Source organism: Homo sapiens, chromosome 15 (genome assembly GCF_000001405.40).
Source record: "Homo sapiens chromosome 15, GRCh38.p14 Primary Assembly".
In the NCBI taxonomy this organism is placed as follows: domain Eukaryota; kingdom Metazoa; phylum Chordata; class Mammalia; order Primates; family Hominidae; genus Homo; species Homo sapiens.
The window spans coordinates 89993525-90011178 of NC_000015.10; the positions used below are offsets into that span (position 1 = coordinate 89993525).

At 49.4% G+C, this 17654-nt stretch overlaps 1 protein-coding gene and 1 non-coding gene across 12 annotated transcripts in view, besides 6 other annotated features; both read left to right on the top strand.

Annotated features, from left to right (window-relative positions):
• The first annotated feature begins 4782 nt into the window (after positions 1 to 4782).
• Positions 4783 to 17654, top strand: part of ZNF710 (zinc finger protein 710) — an 83885-nt gene continuing 71013 nt past the window's right edge. For 3 of the 11 annotated variants that reach the window (XM_011521543.4, XM_047432483.1, XM_047432482.1), the window contains exon 1: positions 5699 to 5836. In XM_011521543.4, the coding sequence (XP_011519845.2) occupies positions 5796 to 5836 (41 nt within the window). In that variant the 5' untranslated portion in view covers positions 5699 to 5795. Of the gene's footprint in view, positions 5037 to 5698; positions 5837 to 7799; positions 8091 to 8880; positions 9146 to 9892; positions 9941 to 17654 lie in introns of those variants that run through there. The other 8 variants (NM_198526.4, XM_005254907.5, XM_047432488.1 and 5 more) reach the window with 6 other exon arrangements.
• Positions 7252 to 7421: a silencer, noted in NCBI's record as "silent region_6807". NCBI's record gives its function as "represses an Ori minimal core promoter by ATAC-STARR-seq in GM12878 lymphoblastoid cells {active_cell/tissue: GM12878}" and the evidence as "EXISTENCE:reporter gene assay evidence [ECO:0000049][PMID:35858748]".
• Positions 7830 to 7998: a silencer, noted in NCBI's record as "fragment chr15:90544586-90544754 (GRCh37/hg19 assembly coordinates)". NCBI's record gives its function as "represses an EF-1alpha promoter that drives an FKBP-Casp9 reporter gene in an ReSE screen in K562 erythroleukemia cells {active_cell/tissue: K562}" and the evidence as "EXISTENCE:reporter gene assay evidence [ECO:0000049][PMID:32094911]".
• Positions 8414 to 8913: a silencer, noted in NCBI's record as "silent region_6808". NCBI's record gives its function as "represses an Ori minimal core promoter by ATAC-STARR-seq in GM12878 lymphoblastoid cells {active_cell/tissue: GM12878}" and the evidence as "EXISTENCE:reporter gene assay evidence [ECO:0000049][PMID:35858748]".
• Positions 8414 to 9381: a biological region, named in NCBI's record as "H3K27ac-H3K4me1 hESC enhancer GRCh37_chr15:90545369-90546137".
• Positions 8613 to 9381: an enhancer, noted in NCBI's record as "H3K27ac-H3K4me1 hESC enhancer chr15:90545369-90546137 (GRCh37/hg19 assembly coordinates)". NCBI's record gives its function as "activates a minimal SCP1, AML or CMV promoter by ChIP-STARR-seq in primed H9 embryonic stem cells {active_cell/tissue: H9 hESC(primed)}" and the evidence as "EXISTENCE:reporter gene assay evidence [ECO:0000049][PMID:30033119]".
• Positions 9382 to 10149: an enhancer, noted in NCBI's record as "H3K4me1 hESC enhancer chr15:90546138-90546905 (GRCh37/hg19 assembly coordinates)". NCBI's record gives its function as "activates a minimal SCP1, AML or CMV promoter by ChIP-STARR-seq in naive and primed H9 embryonic stem cells {active_cell/tissue: H9 hESC(naive and primed)}" and the evidence as "EXISTENCE:reporter gene assay evidence [ECO:0000049][PMID:30033119]".
• On the top strand, positions 13231 to 13317 carry MIR3174 (microRNA 3174). Its single transcript, NR_036135.1, has one exon. It is a non-coding gene; the product is annotated as a microRNA 3174 (primary transcript).

The window sequence follows — 17654 nt, forward strand, 5'->3', positions numbered from 1 at the left end:
CCTACACCCTCTTTATCTCCCTTCACAAAAAGCTCTATTCTCTTTTTGCACAATACACTTTCACAATAGATAGTCTATTCAACCCAGAGCCCAAATCATCAGCAACCAAAACGCTGGTTCCTCTTTCCTCCTAGGTTTCAAACATTTCCAAGGGAGGAGAAATAATTGCACTCTGCAGCATCACTTCTGTTTGCATGGCTGTTTCTCCTGAAGATTGGAAGCTCCTTGAAGGCCTGGCCTAGGTCTTCTCACCATTGACTCTGAAGTGAACCATAAGCCTAGACCTTGTTTCCTAAATATATAATTTATTGTTCAAAATTAATATAATCATTCTTACCACAGAAACAAACAATCAAACAAACAAAACGAACAACAAAGGGGTTCAAGGAAACTTTTGGAGGTGATGGATATACTAACTGTGGTGACTGTCACAGGAGTATATACATACGTCCAAACTCACAGATTGTATATATTAATTATGTGTATTTTTTTATGCCAATTATACCTTAATAATCCAGGAGAGGAAAAATGAAAAATAAATACACCTTGCTCAAGAAAGAGAAAAAATATATAATAATTATAGAAATTTGGCAAATAGGGCCAGCCGTGATAGCTCATGCCTATAATCCCAGCACTTTGGGAGGCCAAGGCAGGAGGACTGCTGGAGCCCAGGAGTTCAAGGCTGCAGTGAGCCAGGATTGTGTCACTGCACTACAGCCTGGGTGACAGAGCAATACCCTGTCTCTAAAAACGAAAGAAAGAAAAAGAAAGGAAGGAAGGAGAGAGAAAAGAAAGAAAAAGAAAGAAGGAAGGAAGGAAGAAAAAGAAACAAAAAAGAAGTTGGGCAAGTACACTAAGGGATAAAGAAGAAAATTAAATCACCTATAATTTCAAGAAACAGAAATAACTTTTTTTTTTTTTTTTTTTTTAGATAGAGTCTCACTCTGTCACCCAGGCTGGAGTGTAATGGCGTGATCTCGGCTCACCACAACCTCTGCCTCCTGGGTTCAAGTGATTCTCCTGCCTCAGCCTCCTGAGTAGCTGGGATAACAGGCATGCACCACCACACCTGGCTAATTTTTCGTATTTTTAGTAGAGATGAGGTTTCACCATGTTGGCCAGGCTGGTTTCAAACTCCTGACCTCACGTGATCTGCCCACCTTGGCATCCCAAAGTGCTGGGATTACAGGTGTAAGCCACTGAGCCCAGCCAGAAATAACTTTTTAAAAACTTGTATATTTTCTTCCAGGCATTTTACATGCATTTTTCCGGATAAGTATACATGTATATACCAAATTTTAAATATATATAATTCTGATGCATATGCAATTTTATATTTCACTCAGCATATTACAAACACTTCCCAAGTCATTATTCTTCAAAAACATGATTTTTAATAGCTTATATAGTATTACATCAGATGTTCATGCCATAACTTCTTTAAACATTTCCATCATTTTTGGATATTTAGATTATTTCCTTCTTTCTTTCCTTCTTTTTTCCTATTTTTAACTTTTGCCAATATAAATAATACTTTCATAAACATGCTTAACACATCTTTGTTCACATTGCTGATTATTTCTCTCAAGAACAGATTTCTAGAATTCGAGTTACTGAATCAAAGGGTATAAATTTTTAAGCTTCTCTTGATCTTTCATATCCAATTATTTTCCAGGCTTTGTACCAATTTGCCCTCCTGTAGCCATAAGTATCATCACTGTGGCTTTTACATTTAATTTATTTGTAACTCTTCGGTGAAGCTGGCAGTTGTAATGACCCATGTTTCTTTTGGCATATTTCTATTCTTAAATTTATGTGTATAGGATTAATTAACTAATTGGTTCAAGCCATGATGGGAATAAAGCCATGTAACTGTGCACCCTCAATCACAAGGGGAGCTCAGAGGAGGTGGATTATTTCATGCACCCTTTCATTACTCCTGGACTAATAATTTGTAAGTCACATGTTCATCCCATCTATCCACACAAACTTATGCTTTCTTTGGGTTTTCCCCAAAAACCCTGAGTATTCCTAAATTGTTACTATACTTCTGAGGATTTTTTTTATTGTTTATTTTTTAATTTTAATTTTAATTTAATATTTTTTTTTAAGAAGATCTTGCTTTGTCACCCAGGCTGCAGTGCGGTGGCGCGATCTCGGCTCACTTCAACCTCTGTTTCCCAGGCTCAAGCATTTCTCCTGCCTCAGCCTCCCGAGTAGCTGGGACTACAGGCGCATGCCACCACACCCAGCTAATTTTTGTATCTTTAGTAGGGACAGGGTTTCACCATGTTGGCCAGGCTGGTCTTGAACTCCTGACCTGAAGTGATCCGCCCACCTCACCCTCCCAAAGTGCTGGGATTACAGGCGTGAACCACTGCACCCGGTCCTTCTGAGGATTTTGAATTGCTGCCCAGTGCATATTCTGTGGGCACTTAGAGCTTAGCTCTCAGTGACTCTCTACCAGTTCCCAACCCCCATGCCATTTCCGCTAAGACCAGCCTTTTAGGAGCCCTAGGTCCACCTCTGCTTTCTGCAGCGCCTGTCTAGTTGAACCTTGGGGTCCTCGCCTTTCATTGGCTGGATTCCTGTTGGGAGTCTTGATATTAAAAGTTGAATATTAGATATTGCAAAGCCAATAATATCTTTTAAAATGTTTGTTTGGTTCTGGCAATGAAAGAAGCAGATATTAATAATCACCTGCTAATCTCCCAGCAAATTACTCTAGTGAACATGTCAACTGAAACGTCGAAGAGCTGTGTTTCATCCCTTTTCTCAGCTTACAAGATTCCTGGGATTCTCAGAGATGGCTAGAACATCCTGGAAGGGTCTGCAGCAGGAATGTATCCTCTATCAGGGAAATCAGGATTAATAAACCTTATAATTATAAACCTACCTTTGAATTTCAGCTCTAGGGAGGCAGCTTTGGGGCTTCTGAAATGCCCAGGGGAGACCTCCATTTACTGCTTTTGTATCAAAAAAGCTGATTTCTTTCTTTCTGGTGTGAATCTGGAGGATTCCTTGCTGGGTTTGGGCAAGTCAGGAGATTTGGCTAAATAGTGATGTCTGCAAGCTTAGGGCCTCACTGGGACCTTCTAACGTTCACATAGGCTTTGAAATTTACAAAATACAGTATCATACATTACACATCATATATTATCGGCTTCCACTTCTCCCAACAACCCTAGAAGGTGGGCATTATTTAAGTTAAAAAGGTGTCACAAAAGGAAGTGGGTCACCTGTCCAGACAGGTTCTCACAGGGAGGTAATCTGTAAGAGAGGAAATTGGTATGGAAAGTGGAGGAGACTCTAAAGAGGGGAAAACATGTTGAAAGAGAATTCCCAAAGGGAAACCCTGTCTACACATTCTGGCTCAGACACTCCATGGTAGTGACCTTAGGAAGTTTTTAAGCTTTTCGGTGCCTCAGCCTCCTCCTCTGTAAAATGATAATGACACCTACCTCAAATAAAGTGCTTAGCCCAGCCTCGCACTAAGGTGGCTGTACAGGTATGTTTATCAAAGCAGGTTCATAAAAGCGAAAAACCTGCAAACATCCCATGAGTCTAACAATTTGTTTAAACAAATTAAGATACACACATACCATGGAATAATATCATTCACTAAGAATGACAATGTGGGCTGGGTGAGGTGGCTTATGCCAGTAATCCCCACACTTTGAGAGGCTGAGGCAGGAGGATTGCTTGAACCTAGGAGTTCGAGACCAGCCTGGGCAACATAGCAAGACCCAGTCTGTACCAAAAAACAAAAAGAAAAAATACAGCCGAGCATGGTGGCACACAAATGTAACCCTAGTTACTCGGGAGGTTGAGGTGGGAGGATGGCTTGAGCCCAGAAGTTCGAGGCTGCAGTGAGCTATGATCATGCCACTGTAATCCAACCTGGCTGACAGAGCAAGACCCTGTATCCAAAGAAGAATGTGGATGTTTACAGACCAGAAGATAATTTGTGACATATACCGGGTGAAAGTAGCTGCAATTCAGTAGGTGTAGTGTTATGCCATTTTTGTTAATTTTGTAAAAATAACATGCTTATACATAGAGTCATCATTTGCTTAATGATATTGACTTTGTACAGTTTTATTATGGTGTGCACTTACATGTAGCCACTAGGATATAAAATGTCCAAGGATATACACCGAAATATGTCTCTAGATAGGGTTCGTTTTCGAATTCTTTCACAATGAACTTGTGTTGTAAAGAAATAACAGAGGGCTGGGCGCAGTGGCTCATGCCTGTAATCCTAGCACTTTGGGAGGCCGAGGCAGGCAGATCCCCTGAGGTCAGGAGTTTGAGACCAGCCTGGTCAACAGGGCAAAACCCTGTCTCTACTAAAAATAAAAAAAAAATTAGCTGGGTGTGGTGGCACATACCTGTAATCCCAGCTACTCGAGAGGCTGAGGCAAGAGAATCGCTTGAACCCAGGAGGCGGAGGTTGCAGTGAGCCAAGATCGTGCCACTGCACTCCAGCATGGGTGACAGAGCGAGACTCCCACTCACGAAAGAAATAATAGAAGTGTAAAATGTTTACAAAGCAGGAACTGGAGCTGTGGTATCTGCCTGGATCCTTGAGGGCATTTGGCTGGTGCCAAGTTCATGTGCAGGTCACTTGGAGAACCAATAATCCAACCAAAGGACTAAGAGGTTTTGGGAGCTTTAAATCACGTTGTGGAGAAGTCAATAATCACCCCCTATCCCTCCCCTGCTCCTCCAGTGCAAACTTCTGTGATTACGTCTCTCTCCTGAGCAAACATAGCCAGGTGCCTGCTCCCAGGGGCCTTCCTGGATTTCATGAGGCCCATCCTCTCCTGATTCCTATTTGTTCCTCAGGCAGGCTACAACTCTGCTGATCAGGCTGGGCCTTGATAACCAGTCATCAAGCTCTGGTCATGTTCCTGAGAAGCCACCTGGCCATCTTGATCGGATGTGGTGTTCACCAATCCCAGCCTCCCAGTGGGACACTGGTCATCTTTGAAGGAATGCTTCCCCCTCAGTCAGCTCATCATGTTTCTGGTGTGGTGAGTCACTCTGGTTTCAACCCTGAACGTAATCTTATTTCCAGGTCATCGGGGCACTACCCAGTCACTCCCTGATTTGTAGTAATAGTAAATAAAAGCTACCGGGGATTGGTGCTTATGTACCGGACACCATGCTAGGTGTGGGGTTTGAGCCTCACAACAAACTGTGAAGCAGGTATTTTTATCCCTATTTTACAGAAAAGTTAGAGAGGTTGACTTGCCCAGGAATATGCAGCAGGTAAGCCTGGGCCCTTAAACTAAGACACTGTCTCTGCAATCCACAGGTCTTCTTACCTGCATTTTATATGTCCCGAAATTAAGTCGAAGTTATTCACTGAAGTTATGTTATTCATTTACATTCATGAAGTTAGCAAGTGGGAGGGGCTAAAATCTGAATATTTCCCTGACACCCTCCCCTTTTTCCCACTTGTGCTCTATCCTCACTCTCCCCCCACCCACTTGTATTCTAAGCTGCAGTAAACACTTCAACTCTTGACAGTTCTAAGAACCTGTAATAATGTGCCGTCTTGCCCTGGGGCCTTTGGACAGACTGTTCTCTCCCATGCATTTGGCTAGCACAGCCTAATCTAGACACGACCTCCTCCAGGAAGCCACACCTGACCACCTTAGTCCAAGCACCCTCTTAGGAGCTTTCTTGGTTCACTCTTGCCTGTATCGCATGGCACTGAGGTTGCTGTCTTCTTTTCTTGCTCCTTCGCCTGCAAAGCCAAAGGCCAAAGCAAGGACTGCGTCTTGCTGATGATTCGGTCCTCAGCAGCCAGCACCTTCGCCGGCACGGGGTAGGTACTCAGTAGGCATTTGTTAAGTGCATGCTTGGCTCTAAGAGCTGCATTCTGCTTTTTTGGAGGATGCAGCTTGGGTGTACTAAGTGGGAGGCTGCAAGTGATGACGGAAATGTGGTTTCCTGCAGACCTGGGCAAAGGCCCTGGGGTCATTGGGGGCTCAGGGTGCTGATGTTAAAAGACCATGGTGTCCTTCTTGTTGAACCAAACTCTCAGGCTACTGTTTCCTCACTCCTCGTCAGAGACAAATGTGTTCTGAGTGACTGGAGTCATAGCTCAGAGCACCAGGAGCTGGTTTAGGGTGGGGCGAGGGGCCGTGGCCTTGGGGCTCTCGTTTCTAAAGGCCCAGGGCTCAGGGCTGGGGGGAGGGGTGAGGAGTGGCAGGTCGTGTCCCCGGGAGGCTGCAGTCACTGGGGGAGAGACAATGGGGCTCAGCATCTGCTCCTCCCTGGGAGAAGGGACCCTTCAGTGAAAAGCCAGGGAGAGCAGGGAAGTGTGGGAGGAATTGATGAGGAGAAGGGGTGGAGCCAAGGAGATGCAGCCGGGAGGAAGGAAGGGAAGGGAAGGAAGGGAAGAGGGAGGGGAGAGGATCCAGGCTTTCCTTCCTCCCGGTGACCTGGTCCTGAGCCGCAGCTTCCCTTGCATTGTTCCCTGAGTTTGCTCTCGGGGCCCACCGAGACCTCACGTTTCTCCCCCTGGCTGCAGCCCCAGTCCGAGGGCCCGGCATCCAGCAGGTGCTCAATACTTACTTGGGAAAATGACAAATGTGACCAACTTTGCTTTGGGAACTTTCCCCCGTCTTCTCCCCACTCCTCCGGAGAACCCGAGGACAGAGCAGGTCTTGGGAGCACGCCCGGGCGCCCCATGAATAATTGACCCTTCCTGGCGGCACTGCCCGGCTCTGTCCGAGGGCTCCGGACCCGCCCTGCGTTGCAGTCGAGAAACGGCTCGGAGTGGCGGGTGTTCTGGAGGTTGGAGGCCTGGTGTCCGGCCTGCGCCGGAGCTGGAGGGCGGCGAGGCTGTGCCAAACCCCGCGGCCCCTCAGGGAGCCGAGAGGGACCTGACGGCCGCGCTGCCAGCGACCACGCCTCGGCGCCCCCCAGCAGTGCGCCCCGGGGCCGAGGCCCAGGCCCTGGGCTCGGGGACCCCGCCAGCCCGCCGATCCCAGCAGCTGCCCTGAGCCCCTTCTCCACCCGGGCCCTGGCGCTCGGAGCCCGCGCCGCTCCCTCGAGTCAGGCCGTCCAGGGCTCTGCTAACAGCTGTTTAAAGGCTTTTGCTGTTCAGTGCTCTGCGGGGATGTTTGTTCCAGGCCCATCTGCCTACTTTAAAAATACATAAGTGAAGCACACACACCCAGCTTGCCACCTCTGGCTGGGGAGGGGCGGGCTCGGCGGCCCTCGCTCGCACTTGGGAAGGAACCGGCACCCAGGAGCCGCACCCGTGCCCCAACACCCGCACCGGCTCTCCTCTCCAGAGGACGCCCCTGGCTTCCCTTGGGGGGGGCGGGGCGCAGGGCCCCCGGGCCCCCTTTGTACCGGACAGGGCCGGGCCCCCCATTTCCAAGCGAGGTCTGCCTCTTCCCCGCTTCAGTTAATCTTTGTTCCCCTTTTCTGCTGAGAGGAGAAAAAAAAAAGAGAGAGAGAGAAAGAAAGAAAAGAAGGAAAAAAGGCGTGACTTGATTTTCAAACGAAACTCCCACAGCAAACAAAACCCTTTTAGAGAAATAAGAAAGGAGGAAGAAGGAAGAAAAGAGGGAAGAAAAAAACAGGAGAAAGAAAACCCTTCAGGCTTTCAATTCGAGTGGGAGAGTTGAACCGAAAGAAAGAGAAAGAAAGGAAGAAAAATCCTCTGCGGTAGAAAGAGAAAAGAAAACTTGGGCTGACAAGAGGGAGGTGTTGGGGGTGGAAGGAAGTGAGAAAACAAAAGAGAGATAAAAGGGCTGCTTTTCTGTCTCTCTCTTCCTCTGCGAGCTGGCTTAGGAGGAGCTGTTTTGCATCCCTTCACGTCAGCCCTGCCTCATTCCCTTCTTCCAGGGAGGGAGAGAGCGCGAGCGAGAGAGCGAGCGAGAGGAGGGGGGAGAGAGAGAAAGAGAGGAGCCGGAGGGAGGGCGGCAGGAGCAGGCGGCGGGCGCGCGTGGAGGCGGGCGGCGGGCGCACAGCAGCAGCCCGGGCGGTGGGCAGCCAGGAGCCCCCGGCCCGGCCCGGCCCGGCCCGCCGAGGGCCCCAGCGCAGGAGCCGCGCCCGGACCCAGGGTGAGTGTCCCGCGCGGCCCCCCGCCCCAGCCCCAGCCCCAGCCCCGCAGCCCCGCGCTGCCGGCCGGCGGGGGCGCGGGGGGCGCGGGGGTGGGTCGCTGCGGCCGCGGCCGACCCGCCCCCCGCCTCTCCCTGGGGACGGCCGCGCGCAGGCCCGCGCCGCGCTGCAAACATGTCGTCTTTTCCTTTCACTTCCACATTCCCTCATGCCGGAGAGCTGGAGGGAGAGAGGGAGAGCCGGGGAAAGAGGGAGAGATGGCGTCTGGGGTGGGGGGGAGGGAGAGGAGGGGGAGGGGGAAGGGAGAGGGAGGGAGCGAGCGAAAGAGGGCGAGAGGGAGGAGAGCGCGCGAATGAGAGAGAGAGAGAGAGAGAGAGAGAGAGAGGCAAAAATGAAAGGAAAGCGTCGCGGCGGCGGCGGCGGCGGCGCGGGAGGCCCGGGAGGCGACGGTGGCGGAGGCTCTCGGGCCCGCACGTGGGTGTCCCGGTGCTGGGTGCGCTCCCCCCACACCCGGCCCGGGACTCAAAGTTTCACCCCCTCGCCGCCCCGCCCCTACGGCTGCCCACAAACTTTATTCTCGGAGCGGGTGGGGTTGTTGCGCGTCCCAGCCGGCCGGGGGTGGGGGAGAGCTGAGCGCGCCGCTGGCGGGGCTGGGGGCGTCCCCGAGGGCCACTGGCCGCCGCACGCTGGGCGCCGCGGGATCTCCGCCGGGACAGCGTCGGGGCGCCGCGGGCCGGGGACCCAGGACCGGCGCTCGCTGTCTGGGGGCGTGGGGGTGGGGGTGGCGGGCGGGGTCCCTACGGCCCGTCTTGAGCCTCCCGCGGCTCAGCCCCCCTTCCTCCTCGTCGCCCTCTCTCCGTCTTCTCGCGGTCATTTTCCTAATTGGATGGAGCTGTGGGGCGTGAGCACCAGCGTCAGATCGGGGCCCTCAGGCTACCAGGTGGGCGCGCGGGCTCGGGGACCGACGGGGCAGCCCCAGCCTCCCCACCCTAGGCGCACAGATCCCGCAGATCCGGCCCTTGGGCCACCGCCCCCTTCACCGCGGACTTGCTAACTAGTGCGTATCGGGTTTTTTTCCAACTTGCCTTTTAAGATGACTTTTATGGGCGCTGCAACTGCTTCCCTCCAGTCTAAGCTGTAGTTTGGAAAGATTTAAGAGGCCAGGGAGGTGCTTGTGTGGATTTTAACCAACCTGAAAGGGTCATTCATGTATCTCTAGGATTTGCGAGACGGTTAGGGCAAGGCGTAGCAGTATCCGGGGTGCCTTTTCTTTTTTCTTGATATGGAGTCTTGCTCTGTCGCCCAGGCTGGAGTGCAGTGGCGCGATCTCGGCTCACTGCAGCCTCCGTCTCCCGGGTTCAAGCGATTCTCCTGCCTCAACCTCCCCAATAGCTGGGACTACAGGCGCACGCCACCACGCCCGTTTAATTTTTAATTATTTTTAGGAGAGACGGGGTTTCACCATATTGGCCAGGCTGGTCTCAAACTCCTGACCTCGTGATCCGCCCGCCCCGGCCTCCCAAAGTGCTGGGATCACAAGGACTCTTCGAGGTACTCGTCCTACTGGGTCTGAGGGAGGCCTGCCGGGCAATCCAGTGAGGGACCAACGTCATGGCCCACCCTTGAGCTGCAGGCCGAGTGCCCACCTGCAAAGGGCACCCTGAGCACCTTTCTTGCTGTGCAAAATGGAAACTCCCGGCCGGTATCGACCTGCAGTGTACATAACTAGTCCCTGTGGGCATCTGGGAAATTCACAAAACTCCCCCACAGGTGTGCGGAGAAGGACTTTGTGCTCTTGGGGGTCACTCAGCCAGCTTTGAAGCTGCCCTCTCAGTCCTGCATTTGTACACGTGTAAGTAAAACCAGTCAAAGTTCATTTCTGCCAAGTAGAGGGCTGGGGGTCTGTGTCCCTATTGCATCTTCACCAGGGGGCCTAGAGAACCAATGGGGCCACGTGGGAGAAGGGAAGAAGAAAACCGTTCTTAACTCGTTAGATAAGAGACAGTGTATTCCTAATGTGATCAAAGCCGATGGGGCTATCTGGTTTTGACTTCTGAAAACCTAGAGTGGCCATTCCTTTCTCATTTGTTTTAAAGAGAATGTTATTTTCTATACTTTCTCATTGGTTTTATTAGCTGACCCTCAGGCCAGGGTAACTGTGCTGGGTACCTGCCAGTCTCGGAGCAGAACCTCTGATCGGTCATCTGTAGCTCCAGAGAGGTGCCCACCTGGTGCCCCAGTGACCTTCTGGAGCTGGCTTTCCTGCATGAGGGCCGTGGGGATAGAGCTGCTTTCTTTTGGGTAGGGGGAATTGGATGTTTGGGTCACATTTTCTTCCTCCAGCCTGGCCTGGTTGCCTGTGTCTTGGTGGAGGGGGCTGCAGTGAGTTGAAGTGGGACGCGGGCTCACTTGCTTGTCTTCTCAGAGCTGATACCTGGGTGAGTCCTCAGCCCACGGTGTGTGGTCAGCGGGCCATTTTTCCAGGGCTTGGGTCATTTCCATTCCAACCAGGCATTTCCTACCAGGGAGACTTATTTTAGGCTCACTGTCTAGAGACAAGGAGACAGACAAGGTCTGGAATGGTTTTTGAGTTGGAGGAAGGGAGACTAATGGGACCACCAGAGATTTTGCACTTCTATTTTAGGTTTGCCTTGTGGCCCAGAGATATTTCTAGCAGAGTTGTGTTTGGAAAGAAGCACAACTTCTTTCTAGAAGGGAGTAAATAAATAAATAAAGGAGGAGTCCAGCGCATCTTGGAGGAGACAAGTGAAGTCAGCTCCCTGGCCCCACCAGTGCTGATGCTTGGCGCAGGCTCATAATCTGGCTTGCTGACCCCTCCCATACCCTCGTTCCTCAGGCCTAGCCAGGGCCTAGCCCGCGGCAGGACTCATTATGTTGAAATAAGGAATCTGTGAATGTGCTGGGCCTGCTGTTAATGGTGCTTGCTCCCAGCCCTTTGACTTCAAAGCTGGAAGAAGGCCTTAGAGATTGTCTGAAAGCAACTGAGGCAGGAAGAAAGCTCTGTACCCAGGATTACACAGTAAGTGGCAGAGCCAGCACTCAACCTGAGCTTTCAGAGCCTGTTCCCAGTGCTGTTTCTACAAGGCCACTGTCTCTGCTACTGCTGGGGATCCCGAATCAAGCTCACTTCAAAGAATGTAGCTATGAGAGCATGAAACCGTGCGCTCACGCCGCACACGAGTTGGGTAAATGGAGCGCCTCATTTTCCAGATGTGTTACAGAAACTGTGCTGGAGGATGTGACTGGCCAGTGAGACAACTAGGGGGAACTGGGTGATTCAGGCTGTTTCAACACTGACTTCTTCAAAGTCCAACAATCAGAGAAGCAGTTTAGTCATCGGGATTTTCTCACATCACACCATTTTTTGATCTGGAATGCTTTCTTCATACTTTGACTTGTATGTGATTTATTTAGGATTGGTCAGGAGAGAAGAGAAGGAGTGTAAGGACCCAAGACCTGAACTGATTTCCATCTGTGGGTTAAATGTACTAGAACGTTTGTGAGGGTAGACGTCTTTGCTTTGTTCATTGCGGAGCCCCTGTGCCTAGAATAGGGTCTGATCTATAGTGGGCCCTCAGTAGATACTTGCTGAATGAATGTACTGGACATTAGGGAAGATTTGCCTGCCAGAAGGAACCCATGAATGACACAGGCAGGGACAGGGAGGTGATTGATGGGAGCTGCAGAGTTGTGCTGTGAGTCATTGCTTCAAACAAGCTCCAGACAGGTGAGGCAGGAGGGGGCTGGGAAGAGAGGATCCTGAATGGGGTGGAGCCCCTGGGTGGAGACTTGTGCAAAACAATAGGTTTTTTTAGATTTTTTTTTTCTTTTTTTGAGACGGAGTCTCACTCTTTCACCAGGCTGGAGTGCAGTGGCGCGATCTCAGCTCACTGCAACCTTCGCCTCCTGGCTTCAAGCGATTCTCCTGCCTCAGCCTCCTGAGTAGCTGGGACTACAGGCATGCGCCACTACACCCAGCCTAATTTTTATATTTTTAGTAGAGACGGGGTTTCACCAGGTTGGCCAGGATGGTCTCGATCTCTTCACCTCGTGATCTGCCCGCCTCGGCCTCCCAAAGTGCTGGGATTACAGGCGTGAGCCACTGCACCCGGCCTAAAACAATAGGTTTTGAATTGGACTCAGAATATAGGGAGAATAATAATAATCATGTGTCTTAGGCCAGAATTATGCTACGTGCTTTGTGTATTTGTCTCTCTTAGTTCTTGCAGGTGCTGGCTCTTGCATTCTTATCCTCATTTGGCAGAGGAGTTAAATAACTTGTCCAAGGGCACAGAGCTGGTATCTAAACCCAGGCTGTCTAACTTCAAACTTTGCCTCTCAGGAACGATGATGTGGTCATATGTCTCTGCCCATGCCAAAGAGTTGGGCGTTCAGCACTTTGGGGTTCCTTGGAAGGACAGCAGCAGAAAAACTAAAGAAGAAATTGTGGGTCTGCAGCAGAGGGAGGCTGGTCAGGGAGTGTGCCTGAAGAGGGTTCACCCAGTGAGGCCTATAAGGGAATGCTTATTTTAGGGGCCTAACTGTTCCTCAAGCAGAGTGGCTGTTGTGAGATTAGGGCTATTTTGCACTTGATAAAGATGTAGGAGATCTTTTTATGGGCAAAGATTGCTTTTCAGGTTAAAGTTTAGTTGGCATATATTTGAAACTAGTGGGAATTTTAAAACTAAGAAATGTCCTTTTTGGCCTTGATACCACCAGAGGCTGTTTGCCACATGTGTAAACATTACCTGCCTGCTCCAGGATGCTGGCCCAGCCTGTTCCAGACCACAGCAGCTCCTCATTCATTGGCAGTCTGTGATGTGCTAGACACTGTGCAGGTCCCGTCCTCGTGAAGCTTGCAGTCTCCCTGGGAGGCAGGCATTAAACTAATAATTACACAAATACTCTTTAATTACAGTGGTTATAAATGCTTCAAAGGAAAAAGTACAGAGGCATAGAAGCCAGTAATCATGGAGAGGGGGAGGGGAGGCTTTCCTGAAGAAAGGACATTTAAATAGCCACCTGCAGTGTGGATGAAGAGGCTTTAACCAGGGTGGTACAGTTCATTAACCTTGATGTGAACCTTGCCACTCCATATGTGGTCCATGGACCAGCATCAGCGTTACCTGGTAGTGAGTTAGAGATGCAGAGCCCTGGGCTCCTCAGCAAACCTACTGGATCTGCATTTTAATTCACATGCATGGTAATGTCTGTAAAGCACTGATGGACTCAAAAGTACTGAAATGACAGGTTCTCAGCTTTGCTGGGAGCTCATTGGGTGACGCTGGGAAAGTCACCCTGGGGTGACTTCTCTGATGTTTGGCTTTTTCCAGTTTGTGCTGTCTACCTGCTTGTTGAGGGTGACCCACCCCTGTGTTGCTGTTGATGGAGACCCTGCAGACTCTAGTCCATGCTCTGGTCTGACTTCTGTAAGCACTGAAGATGGGCTGAACCATCAGAGCTTTTGATAAGGATCAGAATAATTCCCTAAAAGTGTGTGGAGCTGCACACAGAGATTGTCTTAAGGTGACCCTGGGAGGATTTGGCCTGAAGCAAGAGAAAAACTGGCAAGGGTCAAAAGGGCTTTGGGGAGGAAAGGTGTAACGTTTCTGCCAAAAGCGGAACCTAAAACGGGGAGAGAGAGGCACCTGCTCAATAGTTCCATGCATGGGAACATAATACTTTTAAGAATTGCCTCAGAGTTTTATCCCTGAGACCTTCACATCACTGTAGAGAAGACCAGACGGTTGAAATCAGGGGTCCTGGACTCTTGCAGTGTGTGGGTGGGCTTCAAGGGTCAGGGGTACTTGAAACTGTGCAGAAGGTTACATGTGTGCACTTTTCTGGGAAGAGGAGCCGTAGCTTTCACTGGCCTCAAGGGAGATTGCGGCTCTAAGAATTTGTCAAATGTCTTACTGGACTAACCTCACCCAACTCTCTTGTTATACAGCACATGCGATATGCCAGGCATAATTGTAAACACTTTATACATACTGTTAGCTCATTTAGGTTGAATACCTTTCTGGAGGTCACAGATCTAGTAAGCCTCAGAGCCAGGATTAGAACCCAGGCACTGGGGTCCCAGAGTCGCTGGTTGCAAAGCCTACCCTAGTAACAGGGCAAGCAGGACTAGGGGCGAGCTCTTTTTTGGTAGCACAGATGAAGAGGCTCACCCCCACCCCCACTTTACAAGTAAGCATCTCCCCAGTTGTTCATGTAAAACATAGAAAGCATTTTCCCAAGGAAGCACCTTGTGAATAGCTCCAGGTTGCCAGGCTAGCCCATGAAAGCCTGTATCACTGTTGGGCCCAACTCATGCTTGTTTGCAAAGAAAGTAATTAGAAAACAAAACTGCTGCCGCACCAAAGGCTAAATTAAAAATTCTAGAATTGGAAAGAAGGCACTTGAAGAATTGCACCCTTAAATCAGGGAGGTAAGGTGGCAACAGGAAATTGGGGTAGATTCTGAAAGGGAGGGATTAAAGGATGTTACAGCCAAAGCACAGCCAAATATATGTTGAATCAGCAGCTTCAAAAGGTAAAACAACTGTTTTTTATTACCTACTAATTAATGTGTATGGCTCACAGACCTGACCCTTCCCCCATCCCTAGTGCCTACCCCAAGTACAGAGGCCTTTTGTCTTTTCTCTCATTCATTTTGTGTTGTTTGAATTTTTATCCAGTATGTATTATCTTTATTATATACATGTAGTATATATATATGTATAGTACATATGTGTATATATATGTATATGTGTATATATGTATATAGTATACGTGTGTGTGTGTGTGTGTATATATATATATACATATATATATATGTATATATATATACATGAAGTAAAAGAACTATTAGAAGTGGGTTGGAGGCCGGGCACAGTGGCTCATGCCTGTAATCACAGGACTTTGGGAGGCCCAGGCAGGAGGATTGCTTGAGCCCAGGAGTTTGAGAACAGCCTGGGCAACATAGTGAGACCCTGTCTCTACAAAAAAGTTTTATAAATCAGTCGGTGGCACGTGTAGCTGTAGTCCCAGCTACTTAAGAGACTGAGGTGGGAGGATCGCTTGAGCCCAGGAGGTTGAGGCTGCAGTGAGCTATGATGGCCTCAGTGTACTCCAGCCTGAAAACCCTGTCTCAAAAAAAAAAAGAAAAGAAGTGGGTTGGTCTCTTTCGCAATCACCATTGTAAAGGATTTTCTGATATTAAATACATATGCTCTATTGTGTGTTTATTTCTGGGAGAACTAAGAAAACTGTTGGAAATGTGAGGATTTTTAGTGTAGTCGGAAGCTGAGAATAAGTGATCATATTGCGACCCAACTATTTTCCCTTTCTTCTTTCCCTGCCCCCAGCATGTTATATATATGGAATCGAAATGAAGTTAGAATGGTCACTACAGAAAGCAGGAATGTCCACCCTCCGCATTTAAATGGGAAACTATAACTTTTGTGATAACTCTTGGTTATGTGTGTTTTTGTCTTCTGGATGGTACCTGAAATGCCATCCCGGACCCCATCCCGTTCTCGGTGGGACTGCAAGGATATGGGCTTCCAGACTGGGAAGACTGTCCTGCATGTGTTTGGTAAAAGACAACGGCTAAAACCTGGGGCACATCAGAATGTCCTCGCAAGGACCAAGTCCAAGCTGGCCCCTTGAGAAGCATCAGGTACCCTTTGGAAGCTGGTAGTGCTGGTCAGTTTAATCTCACTCTGTGATGTCCGATCCTCGGGCCCTGGGCTCACAAGCCATCGCTTCCCATCGTGGCTCCATTCTGTAGCTGCAAATCACAAGACTGTAGACTTGCCATTACCCAGAAGCAGGTCACCTCTGAAATTCAGAACTCTTCCTGTCCTCCCACTACACAGCACTCCTTGAAGCAGCCCTGCCCACCCCTGCCCCAACCTGGGAAATCTGTGCCCACTTCCCTGGTCCATTCCCCATGTGCCCACCATCAGCCCCACTGCTTGTTCCTCTGTGTCCTGCCCTGGCTTCCTCCCTAGGTCTGGGCACCCCACATCCTCCTATGCCTTAATTCTCTACCTACAGCTACAGTCACACCTCTCTCTCCCTCCCCAACCCCAACCTGTGTCACTTCTCTTTACCCTAGGATTTCACAAAGAAGAGTCCACTCTGTCCCCACTTCCTCTCTCCCCCTCTTCTCCTTGCCAGCTCAACAACAGTGGAGCGTTTCAGCCCAGCCCACTCTCACTCCAGCTGGCTCTCCTAGAGGTCCCTGGCCACCTACTCATGCCCAGTGGCCCATCTTGTGTGACTTCCTCTTACCTGACTGCCCGGTGGCCCATCTTGTGACTTCCTCTTACCTGACTTCTCCATAGCAGTTATTGTCATGAATAGTCTTCTCCACCTTGGGTCTGGCTCATCACTCTGGGTCCTTTTCCTACCTCTCTCATCTGTTTTTTTGTACCATTCTTTCCTGTTGCTATGCTTTGGTGCCTTGGCCACAGTTCATTGCTACTTGCTTACCTACCATGACTGTGGTTTCAGCCTGTATAGGACTCTTGGCCTATGATCCCTGTCCTCATGTCTCCTGTAGACAGCCTAGGGCTGGATTTCCTTTTGTTTTTAATCTAGTCTGATATCTGTGCTCTTTAACCAGAGAGTTCAAGCCATTTGCATTTGTTATGGTTTTGGAAATAGATGGATTTCTTTTTTTTGAGACAGGGTCTCACTCTGTCACCTCGGCTGGAGTGCAGTGGCAGATCTCAGCTCACTGCAACCTCCGCCTCCTAGGCTCAAGTGATCCTCCCACCTCCGCCTCCCAAGTAGCTGGGACCACAGGCATGCACCACCACAGCTGGCTAATTTTTATTTTTTTTATTTTTTGTAGAGATGGGGTTTTTCCATGTTGCCCAGGCTGGTCTTGAACCCTGAGCTCAGGCTATCCACTTGCCTCAGCCTCCCATAGCGCTGGGATTACAGTGTGAGCCACCGCACCTGGCCAAAACAGGATGCAGATTTCTTTCTACCATCGTATTTGGTGTTTTCTATGTGTTCTTTTTCTGATTCTTCTGTTCATTCTTTTGAATTGATTGAAAGATTTTTTTCTTTCCTTCAGTCCGTTTTTTCTCTACTGCTTTGAAACTCATATACTCTTTTTAAAAATTTTTTATTTTTAGAGAAAGGATCTTGCTGTGTCACCCAGGTGGGAGTGTAGTGGCAGGATCATAGCTTACTGTAACCTTGATTTACTGGGCTCAAGTAATTCTCTCTCCTCAGCCTCTTGAGTAGTTGGCCTTGAATTTGAACTTCTGTTTTTTATTGTTGTTGGTTTTTTGTTTTTTTTTTTTTTTTTTTTGAGACGGAGTCTCACTCTGTTGCTCAGGCTGGAGTGCAATGGTGCAATCTCGGCTCACTGCACCCTCTGCCTCCTGGGTTCAAGTAATTCTCCTGCCTCAGCCTCCCAAATAGCTGGGATTACAGGCATGTGCCACCATGCCTGGCTAATCTTTGTATTTTAGTAGAGATGGGGTTTCACCATGTTGCCCAGGCTGGTCTTGAACTCCTGACCTCACGTGATCCACCCAT